The 22432-nt window shown below is 39.5% G+C and overlaps 1 long non-coding RNA gene across 6 annotated transcripts in view, besides 2 other annotated features; it reads left to right on the plus strand.

The window, feature by feature from the left end:
- Positions 1-22432, plus strand: part of LOC102723906 (uncharacterized) — a 220555-nt gene that overhangs the window by 76502 nt on the left and 121621 nt on the right. The gene's annotated exons all lie outside the window — the stretch shown is intronic.
- Positions 3027-4226: an enhancer, noted in NCBI's record as "MED14-independent group 3 enhancer chr4:187841344-187842543 (GRCh37/hg19 assembly coordinates)". NCBI's record gives its function as "activates an origin of replication core promoter dependent on BRD2, BRD4, P300/CBP and CDK7 cofactors, and independent of MED14, by STARR-seq in HCT116 cells {active_cell/tissue: HCT116}" and the evidence as "EXISTENCE:reporter gene assay evidence [ECO:0000049][PMID:35650434]".
- Positions 17608-18807: an enhancer, noted in NCBI's record as "BRD4-independent group 4 enhancer chr4:187855925-187857124 (GRCh37/hg19 assembly coordinates)". NCBI's record gives its function as "activates an origin of replication core promoter dependent on BRD2, P300/CBP, MED14 and CDK7 cofactors, and independent of BRD4, by STARR-seq in HCT116 cells {active_cell/tissue: HCT116}" and the evidence as "EXISTENCE:reporter gene assay evidence [ECO:0000049][PMID:35650434]".

A 22432-nucleotide genomic window follows, 5' to 3' on the forward strand; every position in this document is an offset into this window, starting at 1 on the left:
TGGTTGGATTAAAAATTCTGTAAGATCTGATCTTAGAATCTTAATCTTGCCAATGATGAAGATTCTAAGTGATGGTGAGGAGTTGTCTGGGAATAGCTGTATGTCATAACAAGCTAAGTTTGTTTATAAAGCATGGTAGAGCTCAAAGGGAAAGCTTTTATGAAATCTGGCTCTAGCACTTTTTGTCAAAATAAATCAATGAACACAGAAGAAATGAAAGGATCCCTCTGTGTGGTATACTTCCTGCATCATTTGCTTTGCTTTTCCTATTTTTCTCTTTTCTTCTTTCAACTTTTCTATGCATTCTGCTGCCCCAAAGTGCCACCTTTGTGTGCTTTTATGAATAATTTGTCCTCTTTCCAAAGCAGGTAGAAGACTCTCATGTATTCAAAATATTTTAATTGAGTATCAAAGTATTTATTGAGTATACTCAATATATTGAGTAACACATAATAGACACTCAATATCTATTGAGTTATGAGCATCCATGTGTTAGAAAGTACAGACATCAACTAAAGAACCCATAGTTCATAGTTCCTGTCTTCAAGGAGCTCAGCGTATCATGAGAGAAAGAGGCACATAAGAGACCCATTGCATGTGGCAGAGAGGTGGCAACTCTGAGCTCTATCTATGGGAGCACCAAGGACAATACTGCTCACTGGGCCTTGGGAAACCAGGCAAGGCTTCACACTGGATACTGCATTGGACCTCACCTTCTTGGATATACAAGAATTTGGCAAACACACAAAACAGGCGGGGGATTTCATCCAAAGAGAGGTTTACAGGATGTACAAAAGCATGGACTTTTGAAAGTTTGTGATGTGTCCTGGGAAGTCAATGTGGCACAGTAATTTTGTCCTTTCTTCATTCCACAAGCAAGAGAGATGAGACCAAGAAGGGAGATAAGAATACGCATCTTATCTTATTTTTCTTTTTTTTTTTTTTTTTTTTGAGACAGAGTCTCGCTGTGTCGCCCAGGCCGGAGTGCAGTGGCACGATCTCGGTTCACTGCAACCTCCGCCTCCTGGGTTCACGCCATTCTCCTGCCTCAGCCTCCTAAGTAGCTGGGACTACAGGTTATCTTATTTTTCTAAAAATCACATTTAGGGAGGTAATGTAAACAGAAAGCGAAAGTAAAGAGAAGGGTGGCCAATGACTGGACACAGCAGAAACAAAGAAACGAAAAGGACTTTTATTATTGAATGGGAGTTGTAACTGAGATTTATTGAATCCTTGCTATGTAGCAAATACTGCCCTAAACATTTTATTTATTATTTTTTAAATCCTCACTCTTTTAATAAGTACCACTCAATTAATAGTTATTATTAATTTATTTAATTTACGGAAGGCCAATGAGGATCCAAGAAATGAGGTCTCTTGCCTCCCTCCTCACATATTTGAGATGATGCTGTAAGTGGCAGAATCAAAATTTATGTAACTCTGTAAATGGAGTAGGGAGGCAAAGCATGCTGGCCACCACAAATGCAAAACAACACCAAGGAAACCAAGAACAACAACATAAACTTTCTCTAGCAGAGCTCAGATGTATTGGTTCAAAGGAGGCCTGGTTGAAGTCGTTGTAAAGTGTTATGATGAGGTCACAGTAGACCAAGTTCTTCCACCCTTAAGGTTTTGGTTAGAGAGGCATAAAAGCATTCGAGTTTTATAGTGATATTTGCCCAATGGAAAACTCTTCCCTAGTGGGGGTGATATTAGTTATGGTCTGTGATAAGGGCCCTTGGAGGAAATAAAAGGAAATGTATGCACAAGGTCACGCACTGTCATCTTTTGGCATTACTAGTCTCTTCTCTTTTTAGAAATTTTATTCTAAAAAAGAATTATTCTTTCAGTCACATTAGATCTCTTTGTTATTCTCCAAGTCACCTTTTCTCTTGTGCTTGTCCTTGGTAAGCAGTATATGTTAATAAGAACACACTCCTTCAGCTGCACCTCTAAGATGTGTAGACTTACGGGATGCGAGGAGGGGCTGGAAGTACGGGAATGAGGATGGCACTTCTGGATGATGGGAGATGGCCAGGGAACCAAGCAGAGGGGAGCAAGTGTCTCATTCTCTACTGGAGCAGGGAACAAACAGGCAGCTAGAGGACCCGAAACGTGGGAGGTTGTCCCTAGTGTTAAGAGGGGTGACTTAATTATGTTTTTTCTTAGTTCAAAGGATGTTTCTTTTAAGTTTAGGCTGAAAGTATAGAGTCTCCTGTATTGGTAGGAAGCCCAATATTGTATCAATTTGAGATCTAGGTTTGCTGGCGTCACATACCGTACACGCCCAGGGCGTGAACCAGGCCTTTGCGGCCAAGTTCTAGGGGGCTTTGGAGACCCGGAACCTCCCGAATGTCAGCGAGAGGCAGGCGCCAGCCGCTCTGCCCAGGCCTGCCCCGCGCTGCACATGATTCAGTGGGTTGGGGTGAGGTAGGGTGTGGAAGCAACACAGGAATGGGTCACGAATAGCAAATAGTCTCTTTCCAAAAGGAGATCATGTACAGACATTGTACTGGGTCTTTGGGAATGCCGCAGGGGATCCTGCGGGAACAGCGAGAAAGAGGGAGAGAGGGGCTCGCAGTTACAAAAGAAGGTTCGGGTGGCGTTAGGAGGCGGCAGGGACGTAGCTATGCAGGCCGTGCAAAGTAATGATGCAGATGTGTGTGCCGCGATGTCTTAAGCGTAATTAAAGGTGGACTTCCGCGTTTTCTCAGATTCTTGGTGGTCCAAACAGAAAGGTTAAACAAAACAATTTACATGACTTTTACTATTTATAAAAGGAAATACACCAGGATGTCAAATGTTAAAATCACTTTTCATCACAGTTCAAACTGAAACAAAGCAGGAAGAGGCAAAAACTGCTCAGAGAGGGAGATCAACTAGCGTAGGTGCTTCAAGATACCCCTGTTTTTCTGGCATTTTAGAAATCTTCTAAAGGGATTTTTCTCAGAGTTTGAAAACAATACTGTGTTTCCAAGAATGCTAGGAAATTTACTTTAAAAAACACTCAGAAATGTTTTAAAAGATTCCTAACAATCACATTCTGTATATATCGTCAAATCTGATTTTACTAGACTCTGACATTTTGGTTACATTAAGGAATCATCCACAATAAAAATATACCATAGATAATGGATTCATAACCACATGGTTTCCATTTGTTAGTGTTAGTGTACGGAACAAGTGCAGAACAGATAAGGAAAATATACATCTGTGAGGGGGGAATTCTTTTCATGATGCCTGTCACATTCTGAAATGGAATGCAGTTAATTTCTCTCCTTCCTCAGCTCGGTAAGTTTATTTTCTTAGAATCTATTCTCTGAGTTAGAACTAGCTCTGATTAAGTGCTATATTGGAAGCAGCTCAGTGTAGAGCCATGGCTAAAATAGTTGGAAATTATATCCATAGAAAATTCAAATCTGAGAATTAAAAGCAACAACAACTGTAAAGTACTATGGATCACTGAGAAAGTGTGTATTCATTTTTGTCTAATGATGAAATGATCCAGCTGCAGGAAGAGTCCACAGAGGACATGCCCGGGCAAAGGCCTTTCATTTTACAATTCACATGGAAAGAAATGTGATGAGACCCTGAAAGACAGCTCTGGTTTCATCTGGACCACAATTTAGTTAATGCTATATTACATTGCACTTTGTAGTGAAATGCAAAAATAAAAGGCACATTTTGTTGGGCTTTAAAAACAATTTTTACACGGACATTCATCGGAAGGTTTCAAAACTTTGATGATTTAAATGCTTTTCTTTTGAGCTATAATAGAAATCTGATAGTACAATTAACCCAGATTTGTGCTGGCTTGCTTCATCCCATCAAACAATCATAGGGATTATTTACATTTCGAGTGGGAACATAAATATCTTAAGAAATAGACAAAACAATATGCCCCTTTTTATTGTGAAGTCTAACTCACCTTCATAAAAGTCAACGTATTGAAATATCAATCAATCCAGCAATTGCTTTTTGTTATGTGCCGCAGTATGGATCCTCAGGGACTCCAGACCGTGTGAGCAACTAACAGGAAACAACACCAGATGTGCTGTATCAGCCATTGATTTTCATCCCTGATGAATTCAGGTAAAATTGCATCACTGAAATCACTCAAACTACTCTGAAGCCATTTTTAAAAGGCAGCTCTGTTCAGGTTTGTTGGTTTTAAGTATCAACTTATGTGCACATGCACAGAGGTCCAAAAGGTTAAGCATCTTACGGCTTCTAGGAACTTCATAACATCATCCAGCTTCTCAAGGAATGGTTTTCCTACACAAGAAGAAATCATAAAATGTAGTCATCTGTAAATATGAGAATTAATCTGTTAAGATTCATAAGTTTATTTTCTTTTGTTATAAAATCAAGGAAAAATGACATGCATCACGAATACTGTCAGCAAGAGATACATTTTAGGGTAGGGAATAAATGACTTTGAAAAAGTTATACTACTTTCCTTGGTTTGTAGTGATCGAGTGCAGGAAATGCTTCCCCAAAATATGGCACCTTGGGATCCTGAGTGTTTTAAGCTGAAGGATAATGAGAAACCCCAGATTCTAGGAAGGTCACTCTCTTACCTTCTCCTGCCTTTCTCCTCTGAGGCCATGAAGAGAGTTCTCTGACCTACGTCCCCTGGAAGAAGGCCGATAAGACCCTCACTCCAGATGGGTCCTGCCCTATCCTCAGAGGCCAAGAGGAATCTGAATAAATAGCCCTTGCTAAACCCCCCAGTTAATGACTGTTTGCTCATACCCACTATTTGTTCCGTCATCCTCCTACAGGCCGTCTATTCTCCATCAAACCTAAGCATAAAAATACAGTTTTCCCTGGGTCTCTGGGTCTTTACTTCTGAAGGTGTCCCTGTAACATACAACTTTGGTTAGATACGTTTTTTACGTGTTTCTGTTGTTGATCTGTGTTTTGTTACAGGGGTCTCAGTCATGAACCTTACAATGGGTAAGGAAAAGATACTACTTTTTCTTCCCTACAGTAAATTTTGAACCTTGGATTTAAACAAAAATTTATAAAATAATATGTTTGATTTGCTTTTGAGATTATATATATATATATATATATATATATATATATTTATAGGCAAATAAGACTGACTATTAGTATGAAATATTTATCTTGTCAGATTTTTATACACTTGCAAACACATTTGTAATTTTTTCTGTTAGTACTTTTAACGGAACAGAAAAACAATAGAATACTCAGGGACTTCCCACTTTTGTTGTGTATTTGTTTATGCTTTAACCTTATAATAATTTCAAATTACATTACTAGTTTCTCTTTATTTTTACAAAATCATCTTCTGGACAATTCTTTAATTTGAAGACCTTAAATTTTATGCTAGACAGCTTCCCCCAAGAAGTTCAGTTTTAATATATATTTCACAGTAGTCTGGACTAGGAAAAGAAGTTGCAGGCTATCATGCAATTTCCAGCTCCTTTTGCTACCTTTCCTTCCTTTTGTTACATTCTACTTTCTTTACACAGCCTCTGTAAGCACAGCAGGTCCTCATGGTCTAACTACCAGCTTCTACAAAGCATGTGACACCAATTTTCCAGCACCGAGGAAGCTATAACTTAGTGAACACTCATTCACCCACTGAGGAGCTTGCAGATGAAATGATATTGCACATGCTATGTCTTAGAGGGAGGCACAGAGCTGGACAGGAAGGACGATGCAGACAATCGCCTCTTCATATTGATTTGAGTCTTCACTAACATCAATCCCCATTCACAGATCCTAACTCAGAGCAGCGGGAAAAAAAATTGGAACTACCCAATGTCTACTCTAAAGTGCTCTCAGGAAAAATTCCTTCCTGATTTCACATTTTGGCAGACCATTAAATATAGGAACGCGATTCACCAGAGTCAAGCATATACTTCCTACTGCTGTGAGACTGGACTTCAGAATAAAGAAATAACTTTTTTTTTTTTTTTTCTGAGATGGAGTCTCACTCTGTCCCCCAGACTAGAGTGCAGTGGCATGATCTCGGCTCACTGCAACCTCTGCCTTTCAGGTTCAAGCAATTCTCCTGTCTCAGCCTCCCAAGTAGCTGGGACTATAGACACCTGCACCACGCCTGACTACTTTTTGTATTTTTAGTAGAGACGGGGTTTCACCATGTTGGCCAGGCAGGTCTCGAACTCCTGACCTCAGGTGATCTGCCTGCCTCGGCCTCCCAAAGTGCTGGGATTACAGGCGTGAGCCACTGCGCCTGGCTGAGAAAGAACTTTTAAGAATCAGTTACTTCATATTTTACCCTATATTGTACTTCTAGACTTGATAATGTCATGTAATAAACTCCAACAATTCTTCATTTAACTTTGTCTTCCAGGTACACCCAAAGGAATAATTCCTTTGGAGGTGAGATTTTCACCTTATGACTGTGGAATTTTAAAGTTCTCTGTAAAAACATCCTATAGGTTGTGCAGTTTTGTATATTTTTTAGGATTAATTATTTCCAATCAAAGTATATGTAGAAAGTGTACAAAAATGTAGCCAACTTACTAATATTCTATCTTGAAGAACACTCTTATGAAGGTTATGTATTTGGTTCGTACTAGGATTAGAGCTTATGTTTGTATGTTGCCAGAGAGAGGGTGCTATGAGTTTTTACACTATGGAGTTGGAAGTATAGTAATTTCATTGTATTTACCAAAGCAAAAGAAGATGATGACAATGATAAAGAGGAAGATGAAGAAGGGTGGAAATAAATCAAATCTGCTAATACCTTTACTTCAGTGTGAGGATGTTTTCAACAAAATTCTACTTTCCAGATAATTATCTGAATTATCCACTTTAAATTGTAAGTAAATTTAATAAGTTGAGTTCAAATTAATGTTTTTTAAATCAGCCACTAGGATAAACCTTTTTACTTTAATATATGATTTATGCCCAGTTTATTCCATGTAAAAATTTAAGTTTCTAGGCCAAAAAATGAAACTTATAACTGCTTCCCATATAATCACTCTCAAAAGTGATTTCTGCTATTTATCAATTGAACGTGTTTCTTTCCAGTTTGTATTTAAATCTTGTGCTTATGACATGCAATGACAAATCCAATTAGCTGATTTTTCTATAGGTGAAGAAAACCCTGGTTACTTCCAACTATGTGGATGATATGTTAGTGCAATTTGTCTCAACAAAAATGGCAAAAAAGAAAACAGCCTTCTGAGTAGAGTAGAATACTTTTATTTGGTAGTTGCTGACCTGCCTTTATAGTTTACATCACCTTTTACTTAGGTTTGTGACTTGACAGATAGTGAACCTGAGAGAGAGAGAGGGAGCAGGCAACAAGGCAGCAGATTCCACCTTTTATCTCAGGCCACAAATGTGTCATTCCGCTTTTTAAAAATGCCTGTTTCATTTTGGTGAAACTTCTGATAAAAGCCAAAGAAGTACAATGCCAGTGTTGGAAACAATTCCAATTTTTATTCAAATTATTGATTGCAAGAGCGTAATTTTTATTGACAGAAAGGAATATAGGTAGTTAGAATAAATTTTAAATTTTGGTATGAAGTTTTCGATGGGATTTAGAATGCAGTTTTTGTCTCTGCAAAAAGACTTTGGGCTGAATTACACATACTATTTTTAGATCCTCGTTTGAACAGAAAAGATTGTTACTTGGCTGACTCATTATTGAAAAAAGTTTGTGCATGTTTGTGTGTGTGCATGTTTGTGTGTGTGTGCATGTTTGTGTGCATGTTTGTGTGCGTTTGTGTGTGCGTGTTTGTGTGTGCATGTTTGTGTATGTGCATGTGTATGTTTGCATGTTTGTGTGTCTGCATGTGTGTGTGCATGTTTGTGCATGTTTGTGTGTGTGCATGTTTGTGTGTATGTGCATGTGTGTGTGCATGTTTGTGTGTGCATGTGTGTGCATGTTTGTGTGTGTGCATGTTTGTGTGTGTGCATGTTTGTGTGTGTGCATGTTTGTGTGTCTGTGCGTGTGTGTGTGTGCATGTTTGTGTGTGTGTGTACTTTTGGACACTGGCACATCTCTCTCTCTTTACAAGCTTCTAGGCCTTAGAACAGGAAAATTCACTTTCTCTATTCTATGATTGATTTGGTACCTACCAGTAGAAAAGTGGAATATGATCCTGATTGTTTATCCAGATGCAGTTGACGATTGAACAACACAGATGTGAACTGTGTGGGTGCACTCATAGGCAGACATTTTCAATAAATATATTGGAAAGTTTTTTGGAGATTTGTGACAATTTGAAAAAAACTTGCAGATGAATCATGTAGCCTAGGAATACTGAAAAAATTAAGAAAAAGTTACATCATTAATGCATAAAATATATGTACATACTAATCTATTTATGTGTTAATCAATTACATTATTGGTAAGGCTTCCAGTCAATAGTAGGTTATTAGTAAGTAACTTTTTTGGGAGTCCAAAGTGATAGGCTGATTTCTGACTGCATGGGGGTTGGGGCGCCAGCGCCTGCTTTGTTCAAGGGTCAACTGGAAATATATATATATTTTGTATCTGTACTACATACATATTATATATGCAAAACATATAATTACATAATATATAATATGTCATATATAATATACAACATATGTATTATATATAAACAATATGTGTAGTGAGAAGAGACTGAATTGTGCTTGAGACGGAAGCAAAACTTTGAAGCAGCAGCAAAGGTTTGATGGAAAACTAAAGGGAGATATGATTCATGAGTTCATGAATATTATATATATTATATAAATTTTATAATATATAATATGTATTATAATAGATAATATATAACATATTGTATTAATATCATTTATCAATTATTTTTATATTAATTTTTCATTAATATACTATACAATTATATAAATATGTCAATATATAATACATATTAATAAATATATGTATACACATATGTATATAAAATACATATATAAATTACATTAATGTAATTAGTATAAATATATGTTATATTATAATGTATATATATTTAATTATATATATTATATTATATATTTATACTTAAATAAAATTATATGTATTATATTATATATTTATATTATGTTTATGTATATTATATACATAATATATACATACATTTTATATACATAATACACACATATATAATATATAATAGCATACACATACATATATGCAATATATGTAATATGTGTATGTATATATAATATATACATACACATATATTACATATATGTATTTACTATATAATATAAATATATATCTTTGTATATATGTATATATATTACATATAAGTTATATATATATTTTTTGAAAGGAAATACTATGTACTGTAGAAGATGGAATTTTTTTTTTTTGAGATGGAGTCTGTCTCTGTTGCCTAGGCTGGAGTGCAATGACGCTATCTCAGCTCACTGCAACCTCCACCTCCTAGGTTCAAGCGATTTTCCTGTCTCAGCCTCCCAAGTAGCTGGGATTACAGGCATCCACCACCATGCCCAGATAATTTTTTGTATTTTAAGTAGAGATGAGGTTTCACCATGTTTGCCAGACTGGTTTCGAACTCCTGACCTCAAGTGATCCGCCTGCCTCAGCCTCCCAAAGTGCTGGGATTACAGGCGTGAACCACTGCACCTGGCCAGAAGATGGAATTTTTAGGTATAAATGAAATCCATTGCTCAAGACCCAAAAGGGAATACAGCCAGCAGAATCCCATGCATTTTTTCAATAACAATGGATTTAACTGTCTTCATTAGTCTAAGTACACACCCACTCATGCATTTGTGAATTATATTTATTTCAGAATGCAAAATAGGTGTCTGTTCTTTCTCAATGCTATGACAAGTCACCGCACTAAGGTTTTAATTTTGGGGGAAGATCACATGTGGCATCATAAAGCCAGTTTTGAAGCTTAATTCTTTCCATATTAAGTAGTTGAACGAAGAGTTTCATTTAATAGTATTTTAGTACCTTAAAGTCAAATGATTTCAGTCATTGAACTCAGCATGTTGAACTGCCCTTTCAATTCTCTACAGGAAGTTATTTACCTATTTATTGAATAACAAGTAGAGTTTAGAGAAGGGTATGAGAAATTAAGTAACATTAACAAAACAGAACAAGCCCCCAAAATTCTTCTGTTAAAACATTATTATTTAGTGATAAAATAAAAATTGAAAATGAACAATAAAATCTAAACACAATATGAAAACTTCCCCCTTTATCATATATGTTAATAAAAGTATTGCAATTTTAATTTTATTCCAAATTTACTTTTCACGTTCTTTTCTTTGCGGATAATCTTGAATGATTATTATTGCTGTTATTATTTTGGGGTGGGAATCAGGTTCTCTCTGGTGGGGCAGGACATCACTTCCCTTTGATTCCACCTGGAGGGCATGCCATAGTCTGGGCCCAGCTGAGGTATGGGCCCTGGGTGCTAATGTGGATAGATGATATCTATACTTAATTGTTTTATAGTCAGTGAGAAGAGGCTGAATCATGCTTGAGAAGGAAACAAAAGTTTGAAGCAGCAGCAAGATTTGATGGAAAACTAAAGGGAGATATGATTCAGGAGGTCAGAGAGGAGGGTGATTTGAAAAGGACTGAAGGAAGAATAGAATCCATCAAAGGGTGGTTCAGAACTCAAGCCAGGGATCTGTGGCAGGCCTCAGTGATGTGGAGGAGAGCCTGGGTGCTGTAAACAGAGGCTCGGGACTCAGCCACCTGCAGGTTTGAAGGAGTTCTGCCCCCAGATAGTTTCCTGCCAGGGTGACCAACTGCCCTAAAATGACAGAATGTAATAGCAATTTAAGATCCCATTGCACATCAAACACAGACCCCAGTTTATTAAACAAGGGAATGCAATTTAAATTTGTGAAGACCAGTCATATTATTATTCCCGTTTTTCAGAGTTAATTATAATTGTGCCATTATTATTAGTGTGATTAATATAAATAAAAATAACATTTTAAATAAACACAATAACATATAAATATATACCAAATGTAAATATAATATTTTTTTTCCTTCCAGTTACAGTATGTTAAATAAATATCCTAAGAGTAACAAAAACATTTTCTGGGCACTACCATGATGGGATACATGGGGTGCGCAGTATTGATGTTGGGTAGAAAGCTTGGAATTTCCTTCTGCAACAAATGGAAGTGGCTTTGAGCCTTTCAAATAGAGAAAAAATAAAGCATAAGAGGGAAGGCCTAGAACATTCTAGCTAGGAATAACTGAGTGAAGGGTTGGAGGTAGGAGCATACTCTTACAAGTCTCTACTCCAAGGGAGGAAGAGGAGGACGAGGAAGGACTAACCAGCAAGGATGCCTGGTTTGGTTGACTCCCATCCAGCTTCTCAACTGCAGTCACTTAGTGTCTCCTCACCCGGACCTCGGATGTTTAGCCCAACCCAGGTCCTGGCACTGTTCTAGTTTCCAGAATTCAGGGAATTTATTAGCATTTGACCAAAATAAATCGGTTGTGAGCCTGCTTTACTGATGGCTCCAATATTAAATATTTCTTACTCTGTGTCAGGGAGTTTCTGTCTTGTGACTACTATGGTGACTGGGTCTGTGTTTTTCCAGGTCTCTGGCCCATTGCTCCCTGTCTGACTGAGCCCTCCTATGCTTTCTGGGGATTTGGGCTGAGCCTCAGTTTCTCTTCTGCATGGGTGTTAGATGATTTTTTTTTTGTTTTTCTTTTTTCTTTTTTTTTTGAGACAGAGTCTCTCCCTGTCACCCAGGCTGGAGTGCAGTGGCGTGATCTCGGCTCACGGCAACCTCCGCCTCCCGGGTTCAAGCAATTCTCCTGCCTCAGCCTCCCGAGTAGCTGGGACTACAGGCGCCTGCCACCACGCCTGGCTAACTTTTGTATTTTTAGTAGAGACGGGGTTTCACCATATTGGTCAGGCTGATCTCGAACTCCTGACCTTGTGATCCGCCCACCTTGGCCTCCCAAAGTGCTGGGATTACAGGTGTGAGCCACTGTGCCTGGCCTAGATGACTATTTTATAGGCGGAGATGATAACCACAGAATGTTGGCTGAATATTGAGGGCACTTTGATCCAGATACAAGAAAGAAGCTTGTGGAACTTACTGAGTCATCTCCTGCTAGAATAGTTCAGAAGTTTCAGCAATCCCATATATTATACAGTGTATAACAAAGACAAGGCTTAAAATAAAGGATTCACGTTAGAATTCTTCTTAACCAAAAACAACTCCACACAATTGCAACAATTATAGCTGGAAAAATAACTCCCAATGTTCACTATCCTAACACATCAAATTTCTTCATTTCTCTATTCTCTTTTTTTAGTTTATACCCATACAAATATATCATTTTCACTTAGCTATAACCAAAGCAGAGATTCAAATTAGTATACCAGATCTACTCTAAAGAGAAAATACAGCCGGGCGCGGTGGCTCACGCCTGTCATCCCAGCACTTTGGGAGGCCGAGGCGGGCGGATCACGAGGTCAGGAGATCGAGACCCTTCTGGCTAACACGGTGAAACCCCGTCTCTACTAAAAATACAAAAAAATTAGCCGGGCGCGGTGGCGGGGCCTGTAGTCCCAGCACTTTGGGAGGCCGAGGCGGGCGGATCACGAGGTCAGGAGATCGAGACCATCCCGGCTAAAATGGTGAAACCCCGTCTCTACTAAAAATACAAAAAATTAGCCGGGCGTGGTGGCGGGGCCTGTAGTCCCAGCTACTCGGGAGGCTGAGGCAGGAGAATGGTGGGAACCCGGGAGGCGGAGCTTGCAGTGAGCTGAGATCGCGCCCCTGCACTCCAGCCTGGGCGACAGAGCGAGACTCCGTCTCAAAACAAAAAAAAATTACAATTTTTTAAAGTGAACTGAACTTCCTCTGTGAGAAAAAGATTATCTCACCACCGCTGGAAGATCCTTGAAGAGGGTGAGACACTTTGCTGTATGAATTGCGAACATATTCTCAATGTTGCCTGCTGCTTTGATCCCAGACGTGACCCAGACCCATGTTAAAACCAACTCCTTACAGGTTTATTCATCACCCCACTTTCCTTCCAGTTACGGCTTTGCGAGTCTAGGAAACAGGCTCTCAGTAAAGGAAACACAGCGGCCATCAACGCAGTCTAGCTGTGCGGAAGGAGCGCTCAGCCCCGGCGAGAGGTGTGGCTGCTGCCGCCCCTTTTCGGGGGACTCCTCCATGACGTTGCGTTATTTGAATTTGATGTTCAGATAACACAAGTTTTAAAGATACATGTAAAAATTGTTCTACAATATGGAAGAAACGTGATTTTGGTGGTAGAAGATGACAGCCTGGGGGATATGCGGTGGGACTAGTTGGAGGCAAAGCTGCACATTTGGCAAAACTTGTCTTAGAATCACCTTGCCCCTTCTTCTCCTTCTCATCCTCACAGACACTCTGTATTCCCCAACTAGACCGAGAGCTCTTGATGAGTTAATTAACGCCGAGGTTTTAGTGGCTCCATTCCCAGCCCTTCGGGAAGGGTATAAATTTCAGAAGGAAAACCTCAGGGTACAATATTTAACCCACGTCAGTGGTTCTCTAAGAGCGGAATTTCAAGTGCCGCATTCCTGGAAGGGGAGGAATTTGCTGGATTAAAGGCTTCCTGGCCTGCAATTGTGTTATATGAGAGCATACCTACTCAATACGTATAAAGACACCTTGAAAAAATATTCAAGATGTACGAAAAGGAAATTGGGGAGATAACTGCAAGACTTAGAGAAGAATGAGGGACAGGAAATTGCATATCAGCTTTATTGAAAGAAAGGGTATTTGTTGTGTCCGCTGTGGGAATGCTCTATGCCTATCGCCTCTTCTCAAGCACGACACAGTAAATTCAGTGATAATCAAGATCCATCAAGGCAAATATTTCCCTCCAGGGATTTAGTAAGCAATTAAGCAAAATCACTGCTTTGAGCACTTATGTAATATTAGCGATTTCTTGGTCCTCTTGACATTATATTCGTCTTTAGCAATTGGTTCAGCAGGTCTCCTAAATCTCTTCTCTCATGGAGCATTCAAAATTCTGTCCTAGTAGCTAACGCTAAAATTAGGTGACATCATTGGCAATACTCCCTGGACCCCCAGACTCTGCTGAGGTATAGAAACATGGCCAGGTTGGTCCTTAGTCTGGGGTCTTTGGGTCATGGGATATGTTTAGGGATAGTGTGATTTTTGACACAGAAAGAAAGAAAAATCTGCAGTTGATTTTTCAATCGCAAGGTAGCTGCTAAAATAGTGCATGTCTACCTGAATAAAATTTAAAGATATACTGAAAGAAAAATAATAAAATAGTAATATTTAGTTAATTTTATATATTCATTTCCCAATCTACTTTCATTGGAATTACATATAAACATAAATAAATTCCTTAAGCCAATATTCGAAGGTTCTATTCATTTTCTTTTCTAAGAAATGTATTGACATAAATAAAACTGTGCTATTTAGAAAAAGTACTTATGGATTCAATTGATTTGGCTCTATTCTTCCCACCAGTTTTTTTTTTAAGAAGGCAGCTCATTTATGTGGTGATGTAGCAGTTCGTGTCACAAGCAAATTAAAATAAAAAATGTCCACTTCTAGAAATTTTTCTTTTATGGTCTGAGTCAGCCATAACCACAGAGGATCCATCTTGTGCAATACTGTTTTAAAAATTCATTCAATTATATTTGGCCAAATACAAAATATTAACTTGAGTTACATTGAGTATTTAATAGTTAGCAAAACTTATATCCATTGATATCGAATGCTCTCTGCCAAACATGTATGGTCTTGTTTTCATTTGCCCTCCAAGGTTAAATGCTTTGTTCTAATAAAGTGTTCAAACACAGAATAAATCAGGTATTAGCTGTCAGTTAAATTAGTGGCAAAATTGACAAGCAGTAATTCTTGACCAGAGTTTGTATTTGTTCATCACTGGTTCAAATGTTTTTTATTTCTTTCTATATTCTGCACTTATATTCTTGCCCAAAGACATTTTCCTCTCTTGGAAAATCATAATTAGTTTATTTATTTTCAAAGGTTAGAAACCCACAGAATCATGATTAATGATGTGGAAATTAAATACATACAGGTACTGTTGCCTTTTGCAAGACACTTCATGGTTAATGAGTGCTGGTTTGTATTCTCTTCATTCAGACAGTAAAGTCAGCTTTAAATGCGTCAGTGTGGCGAGTTGATGACAATTGCTGAGCTGAGTGAGAGGCATGGTTTGGAAATTCTCTTTGTTCTTTGCGGCTCTGTCCTGTGACACTGCCATTATCCTTTCGAGTGGAGGCTGGGATAATGGGCCTTAGAGAGGGTGACCTGGTATAGCTTGACCTGCACAAATGTGTTTGTCTTTATTCACTTGGGCCCTTTGACATGCTCTTCTAGATATTATGATGTTGGTGTTATATTGGAATGGAAGGATTTGATTACTCAGGGATCAATAGCTACTCTGGACATTTTTTGAAACACGTTGAGCATGACAAACTTGCCATTTTTGCCTTCCTCCATTTTTAGACACATGACTCTATTAAGGGAAATTTAATCCGTATGTTTCTGATTCCCTTACACTTAACTCATCAAAATGTTGTTTTGTAAGAACACTTTGAAGTCAGGGAAGCCTTTTAAGTCATTTTTTATGAGACTTTTTCAAGCCTCTTTTCTTAGGAACAGGAAGTGGCATTTAGCCAACAGTTAACAAACTCAAACACCAAAAGGTTGAAGTTGGGTTTGAATCTCTGAACCCATAAGTGTTTGAATGGACTCTTGACATGAGCCATCCTACTGTGTATTAGTGCCAACGGCCATCAGAACCGTCTTGATTGCTGAGATGACTCCAGGACCCCAACCAACCGCCAACTTGTGTTTCCCTAATCAGTCTACTTCATGCTGAATTATGACTCATTTAACTTTAAAGGAACTACTTTATTACCCATTCTGCTGAGCATTTTTGTGACTTCTGTGAGAGCTATTGAATTTGGCACTGTCCCACAGCTAGCTAGATATAACTTTTGAATCCAGTCACCAGTAAAATCACACAAGAGTTCAAGTTCACAGGACAAGTGAGTGTTGATTGACCATGAAGGCTTCTACCCACAAATACACAGAAATTATTTCAGCGACTCAGTTTCCTAGTGGAGAAGATAACATGGACGTTTTAGAAAATAAAATGCATGTTAAAATAACAAATGAGGCATCTGGCTTCAGAAGTTTTCGTTTGATTTATACTCAACAGTTGTTGTAAGTAAAAACTAAGCTCCATTTCCCAGGAAATTTATAGCTTAGACAAGCACCAGCGTTGTCACGGTGGTTCCCACTGCAGAATGCACTGGAAGTGATTTCTTCCTGTAGGTTTTCAGAGGATCCTACTAAGTCCTAATTCTGCACCTTGCAAATTATGCAACAATAAATGCCAAATAGCAACAGCTGATCTAGGTTAAAAGATTTAAAGAAGTTTCAAAGGTAGCCTAGGAGAAACAGTGAGAAATAATTCTAGAAACAAGAGAGTTCCGATAATAAACACTCAAGTGAAGAGAGCTCAGGCAGGCAGAATGCTACTCCTCTCCTTTAGGGCACTGCAAGTCAGCGCTCTGTAGACAGCATTTATTATCTAGGTGAAAAAGCCTGGGGACGTGGTACAGGCCACCCCTCTACAGATATATCAGGATTGCATAGTGGCTGCATGCCCAGGGGCTCTGGAGTCAGACTGCCTGGTGGTTTAGAGCCAGACTGTATCACTGGATCTGTGCTCTTGGATAAACGAGACAAATTATAGGACCTGTTTAATTGGGCTGTTGTGAGGATTAAAGAGGATGCTACATGTGAAAGTCCTGGTAGAGTCTTGATAAATATTAGCGTGATGAGGATGTGGTTGGCTAGGACTAGGGAATAGTATAACAAGGGCGCAATCGCTCCGGTGTAAGTTAAACACTGGGAATTATGAGCATCTCATGTTCTTTCATCTTCCTAGAAATCCGCAGCTATGTCCAAGGCTTTAAGTGACAGTTGTTTCTTGATGACTCTCAAATCAATGTCCTTCCTCTAGATCTCTCTCTGAGCAAGGCCTACAAGGCCACTACCAGCCTAACCTTCAGCTCTTCTCACTGAACTACTGGCCCTTTCTGCAGCTGGAATGTTCGTTTCATGCTCCGTAACTTTGCATGTGCTGTTCCCGCCGTCATTAGTACCCCTACTTCTTGTCCATCTGGCACATTGCTGCTCATCCTTCCGTGCTCAAGCACCATGTCCTCTGCAAAAGCCTCTGACTTCCTTTTGCTGATTTAAGCGTTCCTCTCTTTACGCGTTTATGGCACTCTCTCGCATTTCCTTATAGCTCTCATGAAGTGACACTGGAAATCGTGTGTGTGCCTGTCTCCACACTCCCCTGTGAGCACTGTCAGGGCAGGGGCTGTGTCTTGCATCTTTGGGTGCCAGTCCTAACACAGCATTTTGCATAGGGAGGACACTCAATGCAATTTTGGTGAAGGAATAAAGTGTGTCTAGAGAAACAGCAGGAAGGTTAGGTGGGCTGAAAATGATTTTGGTTTTATCAGCACCACTTTTACTATAGTAGACTCGACGCCGTGTCTCATTTCTTCTTGTGCTCACATCTAGCAAATTTGAGTGTCCTGGAAATAGTTTTCAGGGTGAGTTTTATCTTTCTCTATGAAAGATGTGCAACAATGCTCTATGAAGGAAAGGCGCACATTGAGTTTCTGATATGATCTATAGAGTGTCATCACCCAGATTCCAAGCAGCCCCATCAGGACAGAGCCTCTTCTTGTTAGATCAGTGCCTGCCATGGAGGAGACACACAGTATTTGATGAATGGTTGCATGAAAGCCAAGAATAAACAGTACCTGGATAATGAAAATGAAAGCACCACTGCTCCACCCACATCTTGAGGTATTTGCTTTAGTTCCCTAGAGGGATTTTTCAGTCCTTAGAGTGACTCAATTGTGTTTAACATCAGTCCTATCGAATACCAACATCAAGACTATTTTTTTCTTCTCATTGCTAATGATATTGCTACATTGTCTTCACCATTGTGAAACTTGCTGAGAAACTTGTATATAACCTTCAAAACCCAAGTATGTGTGCCCTGCGAAGACTGCATGTCACTAGCTATGAGTGACTGATGTGCGTGACAAGGGGTGCCGAAAGCCGAGCGATGCCCTGCTGTGAAGAACCGTGGGCTCTGGCTGGTTACAGAGCTGCCGTGTGAACTTCAAACCCATCTGAAGCCATCACAACCTTTATTCTTTTACCCAGAACTGGTGAAACCATTGTAATCTTTATTCTTTTACCTAGCCCTGGAAGGTCTAGAAGTCAGTCACTTGCTGAGAGATGTTGAGATGCTGTTCCTCCATGGATCTTCTGCACCAGAAATACGACTTAAGACCTCTCTGCCACACTCTGCAATCATTCCTCCTTCCTCATGCCTGGCTAAGGTGGTCCTCAGGGGTCATTTTCAAACTGTTGGTCACAACCTCTTCATTGGTCTGAAATTAATCTAGTAGGTTGCAAACAGCACTCAAAAAGGAGATAGACTAGAACAGACCAGTATATTTTACATAGTAAGGCTAAGTGTTATTTCATGAAAGTTTTTTTTTGGTTTTCAAAACACACCTCTCTCTCTGTGGTGTGGTGTGTGTACTGGGTACTGATAGAAAATTTATTTCTTACTCTGGGTTGCAGTAAAAGCAGTTTGAAAGCTCCTACCTTGGAAACTCTGAAGCAGCCTGGGGTTTGGATGTGGATCAGGGAGTCACAACCATGCTGTAAAGCCAAACAGCTAACCTGTGACACTGCTGGGCACAGACTGAGGTATGTCTCGTGGCTGTTACCGATGCCAACTCTCAGGATTCATACAAATGGAAGACAAGAATATCTTAGGTAATCTACAAATCCCCAGGTCTGATTTAACTCACCTTTCTCCCTTACTTTGAGAAACATCTGTTGCATATCTAGCATGCGCCGGGCAGTTCTAGATGCTGGGAAGATAGTGTGAAAGTCAATCCTTGCCCTCCCTCATGGAACAGAAGATGCTTCCTACAAAAAGTCTTACAATTCTGAGTAACTAAGTTAACTGGTTTATTTTATTGCCTCCTTTTCCCCAGCCTGTCAGTCTTTTCTGATAAAAAGGCTAATAAACAGAAACCAGTTAAATAGCAACCAGAGGAAAAGAACAGGAAAAAAAATCGAGTCTGAATAACACATAATTAGCCCCTTGATATTTGAGGCAATAGGGGAAATAATAATGTCATATACATGATTAACTTCTAAAGTTGGCTAAAAAAAATAAAGGAAAAAACAAAAAACCCTCAGTTCTATCTATGAGCCCAGCATGTCCAGAGTATTGTCGGAGTGGCTGTTGTCTTTGGGTATCCTGAATTTTCTTCCTAGAAAGGAAGAAGAAGGCCCCCATTTAGTTTTGTTGCAGGTTTCAAATTCTTCTCTGGGAGAAAAGCTAATGCAGCAAGTTATTTTTTCCCTGGCTATTTATTTTTCCATTTCCAGTCGCTCTATGCTAGATTGTAACATTCAGGGATTGGGGAGTACAATCGCTTCAGAATAATCAGTCATAAACATTCCAGGTTTAGTTAACTATTAAGGAAAGCAGCGTCTTTACTTTTTAAAGAGGAAAAAGAAAGAACGTATGCCACGGCCTGTAAAAGACTTTCCCATGTTTTGTTTACATTGGAATTTCAAAAGCTGACAATATCTTTCCTTCCTTCCTGCTCCTTGATGTAGTGAAAGGTCTTCCCTGTAAGTCTGATCATTTTAGTTGAAAGTGTTTAGACTATCTCGTGTACTCAAGTACTCATCACGATAGAATTCCACCGTGTAAGGGCTTGGTGGCTTCTAAGCTCATATTTTCTTTCTTTCTTTTCTCTCAACAAACTCAACTATCATTGTCATTTAACTTTAGGCTCCATCCCACATTCCTGCAGGAAATCTTCTTTTAAACAGAATTATATACTGCAGGAATGGAGCTGCTCAATTTTCACTGGGTTGCATTTTTTATGGTTGTTCCTTTACTTCCTGGTAGCATATTTCTGATGACACATCCGTAGCAACAGTAGTTTTATTTATAAGCAAAGGGAAGAAGAAACATGGACTTTGGCTAACCTGGGTGTACAAAGAACACCCAGAATGTAATTGTAATTATGTCCACTTGTGGTGATATGGTCCAAGGTTTATCAGGATTTCCAAAGGAATCTGTGGGAGGAAATCTACCAGTGATCACAGCCATAATGAAACAAACTGATGTGGAAATTTCTATTCTTTAAAACCTATTTTAAATTTAGTGTTTACAAATAGGTATAAGTTAGCAAGAGTGCTGAACTCAGGGGACGATCTAAATCCACTCAATAATTAGTTCAACAAACTTAGGCTAGGCACAGTGGCTCACGCCTGTAGTCCCAGCACTTTGGGAGGCCGAGGAGGGTGGATCACCTGAGGTCAGGAGCTCGAGACCAGCCTGACCAACATGGAGAAACCCTGTCTCTACTAAAAATATAAAATTATCCGGGCATGGTGGTGCACACCTGTAGTCCAAGCTACTCAGGAGGCTGAGGCAGGAAAATCACTTGAACTCAGGAGGTGGAGGTTGGGGTGAGCCGAGATCATGCCATTGCACTCCAGCCTGGGCAACAAGAGTGAAACTCCATCTCAGAATAATAATAAAAAATAAATAAATAAATGAATAAATAAATACAGTCATGGGACCCAACATTACAGACTTTAGTCATTGACGTTACAGAATTGAGCCACTCATAGACAGGGACATCACAGAGTTTAGAAGAAACAGAGAAGTGGGAGGGGACAGAGTCAGCAGATGTGCCTCAAGCAGAGGGTTCGGGGGAGTGTCGGATGAGAAAGAAGAGCTGGAAAAAAATGTTAAGAAGGAGTAGCTGGAGATGTTACAAGAAAATAAGGGGTGCTTATCATCATAGAAGCCAATAAGATAATTTGAAAAATATAGCGGTTACAAGAGTCAAATGCTAAACGGTTCCGAATGCGTGAGGGTTGGGATCAGGACTGGCGATTAGCAAGTTTTATGTGGCTTTTAAGCCATTACTTTCTGTAGAAAGAGAAGAGCACAGCCAGAGGATAGAATTGAATGGGAAGTAAAGATGAAGTAAAATGAGCGTAGAGTGTATTTTTTCTCGACAATTATTGGTGTATGGAAGCATGTAGATAAATAGTTCCCTGAAAATATCGTTTACAGGGGTGCTTTTATTTCTTTGGATGAGGAAACTACAGTACATTATAGGACAAGTGAAAGGAGCAAGTAGAGAAACAGGGTAATGATGACTTTAGGGAAAGATAAAGAGGGGTCTCAACAGTTCAGAAGGAGCAAGTCTCGGAAAAGAAGAGGGACAGTTGTGTCTGTTTCACTTATGCATTGTCATATGACAAATATCCTCAGAAACTTGGAGGCATGGCCGGACGCTGTGGTTCATAGTTTATAGGTGCACAGTGACTATAATCCCAGCACTTTGGGAGGCCAAGGCAGGGGGATTGCTTGAGCCCACGAGTTTGAGACCAGTGTGGGTAACATGGCGAAACACTGTCTCTACAAAAAAAAAAAAATTAGTTGGATATGGGAGCACATGCCTGTAGTCCCAGCTGCTTGAGGGGCTGAGGCAGGAGGATTGTTTGAGCCTGGGAGCTCTAGGCTGCAGTGAGCTGTGTTCACGCCAGTGCACTCTAGCCTGGGTGACAAAGTGAGACCTGTCTCAAAACAAAACAGAAGCCCCACAAAACTTAGAGGCTTAAACAACACCATTTTATTATTTTTCACAGTTCTGTGTGTTGGCTGCGCTCCCCTGAGATGTCTTCTCTCTGCTCTACTCGTCTCAGCTGAGCACATCTCGAGTGGCACAGTTTGGAGCAGAGGATCTAAGGTGGTTGGTCTGACTCCTTGACTGTGTTAGCTTGGGTGGCTGAAACGCCGTGGATGCTCTTTCATCCCGTAGTGTGTCTCTTCCCGTGTGGCCTTTCCAGCAGCATGGCCCAGACCTCTCACATGGTGGTTCAAGTGAGAGAAGGCTGCAGAGTCTCTTAAGGCCTAGGCACTGAGACTCACGCATCATTTCTGCCATATTCCAAGATCAAGTGAAGGTACTCTGCAGGTCACAGGGCAGGGCAGATTCAATAAGAAAGAGAACTAGGAAAAGCACAAAGATGTGGCCGCATAACACATTGGGGCCAGTTTGCAAGGATTTGCCACAATGCTTCTAGAACAAAAGAGAAGGAGAAAGGATTAGTGTAGATTTAGAACACTTCTGAATTAAGAGGAAGCAATTGGAGAAAGTTCAGGCTGAAAACCTTCAATTAGCATAGACTGAAAAAAGCTCATCTCTTAAAGGAGAAGTCATAAAAGAGTTTATATGAATCAGAGTGTGATTCCTTTTTTTCTTATACAATATGAAATAAAACCACTCTGTAACTCTTGAATAAATCTGCTGTTAGG

Source organism: Homo sapiens, chromosome 4 (genome assembly GCF_000001405.40).
Source record: "Homo sapiens chromosome 4, GRCh38.p14 Primary Assembly".
Lineage (NCBI taxonomy): Eukaryota > Metazoa > Chordata > Mammalia > Primates > Hominidae > Homo > Homo sapiens.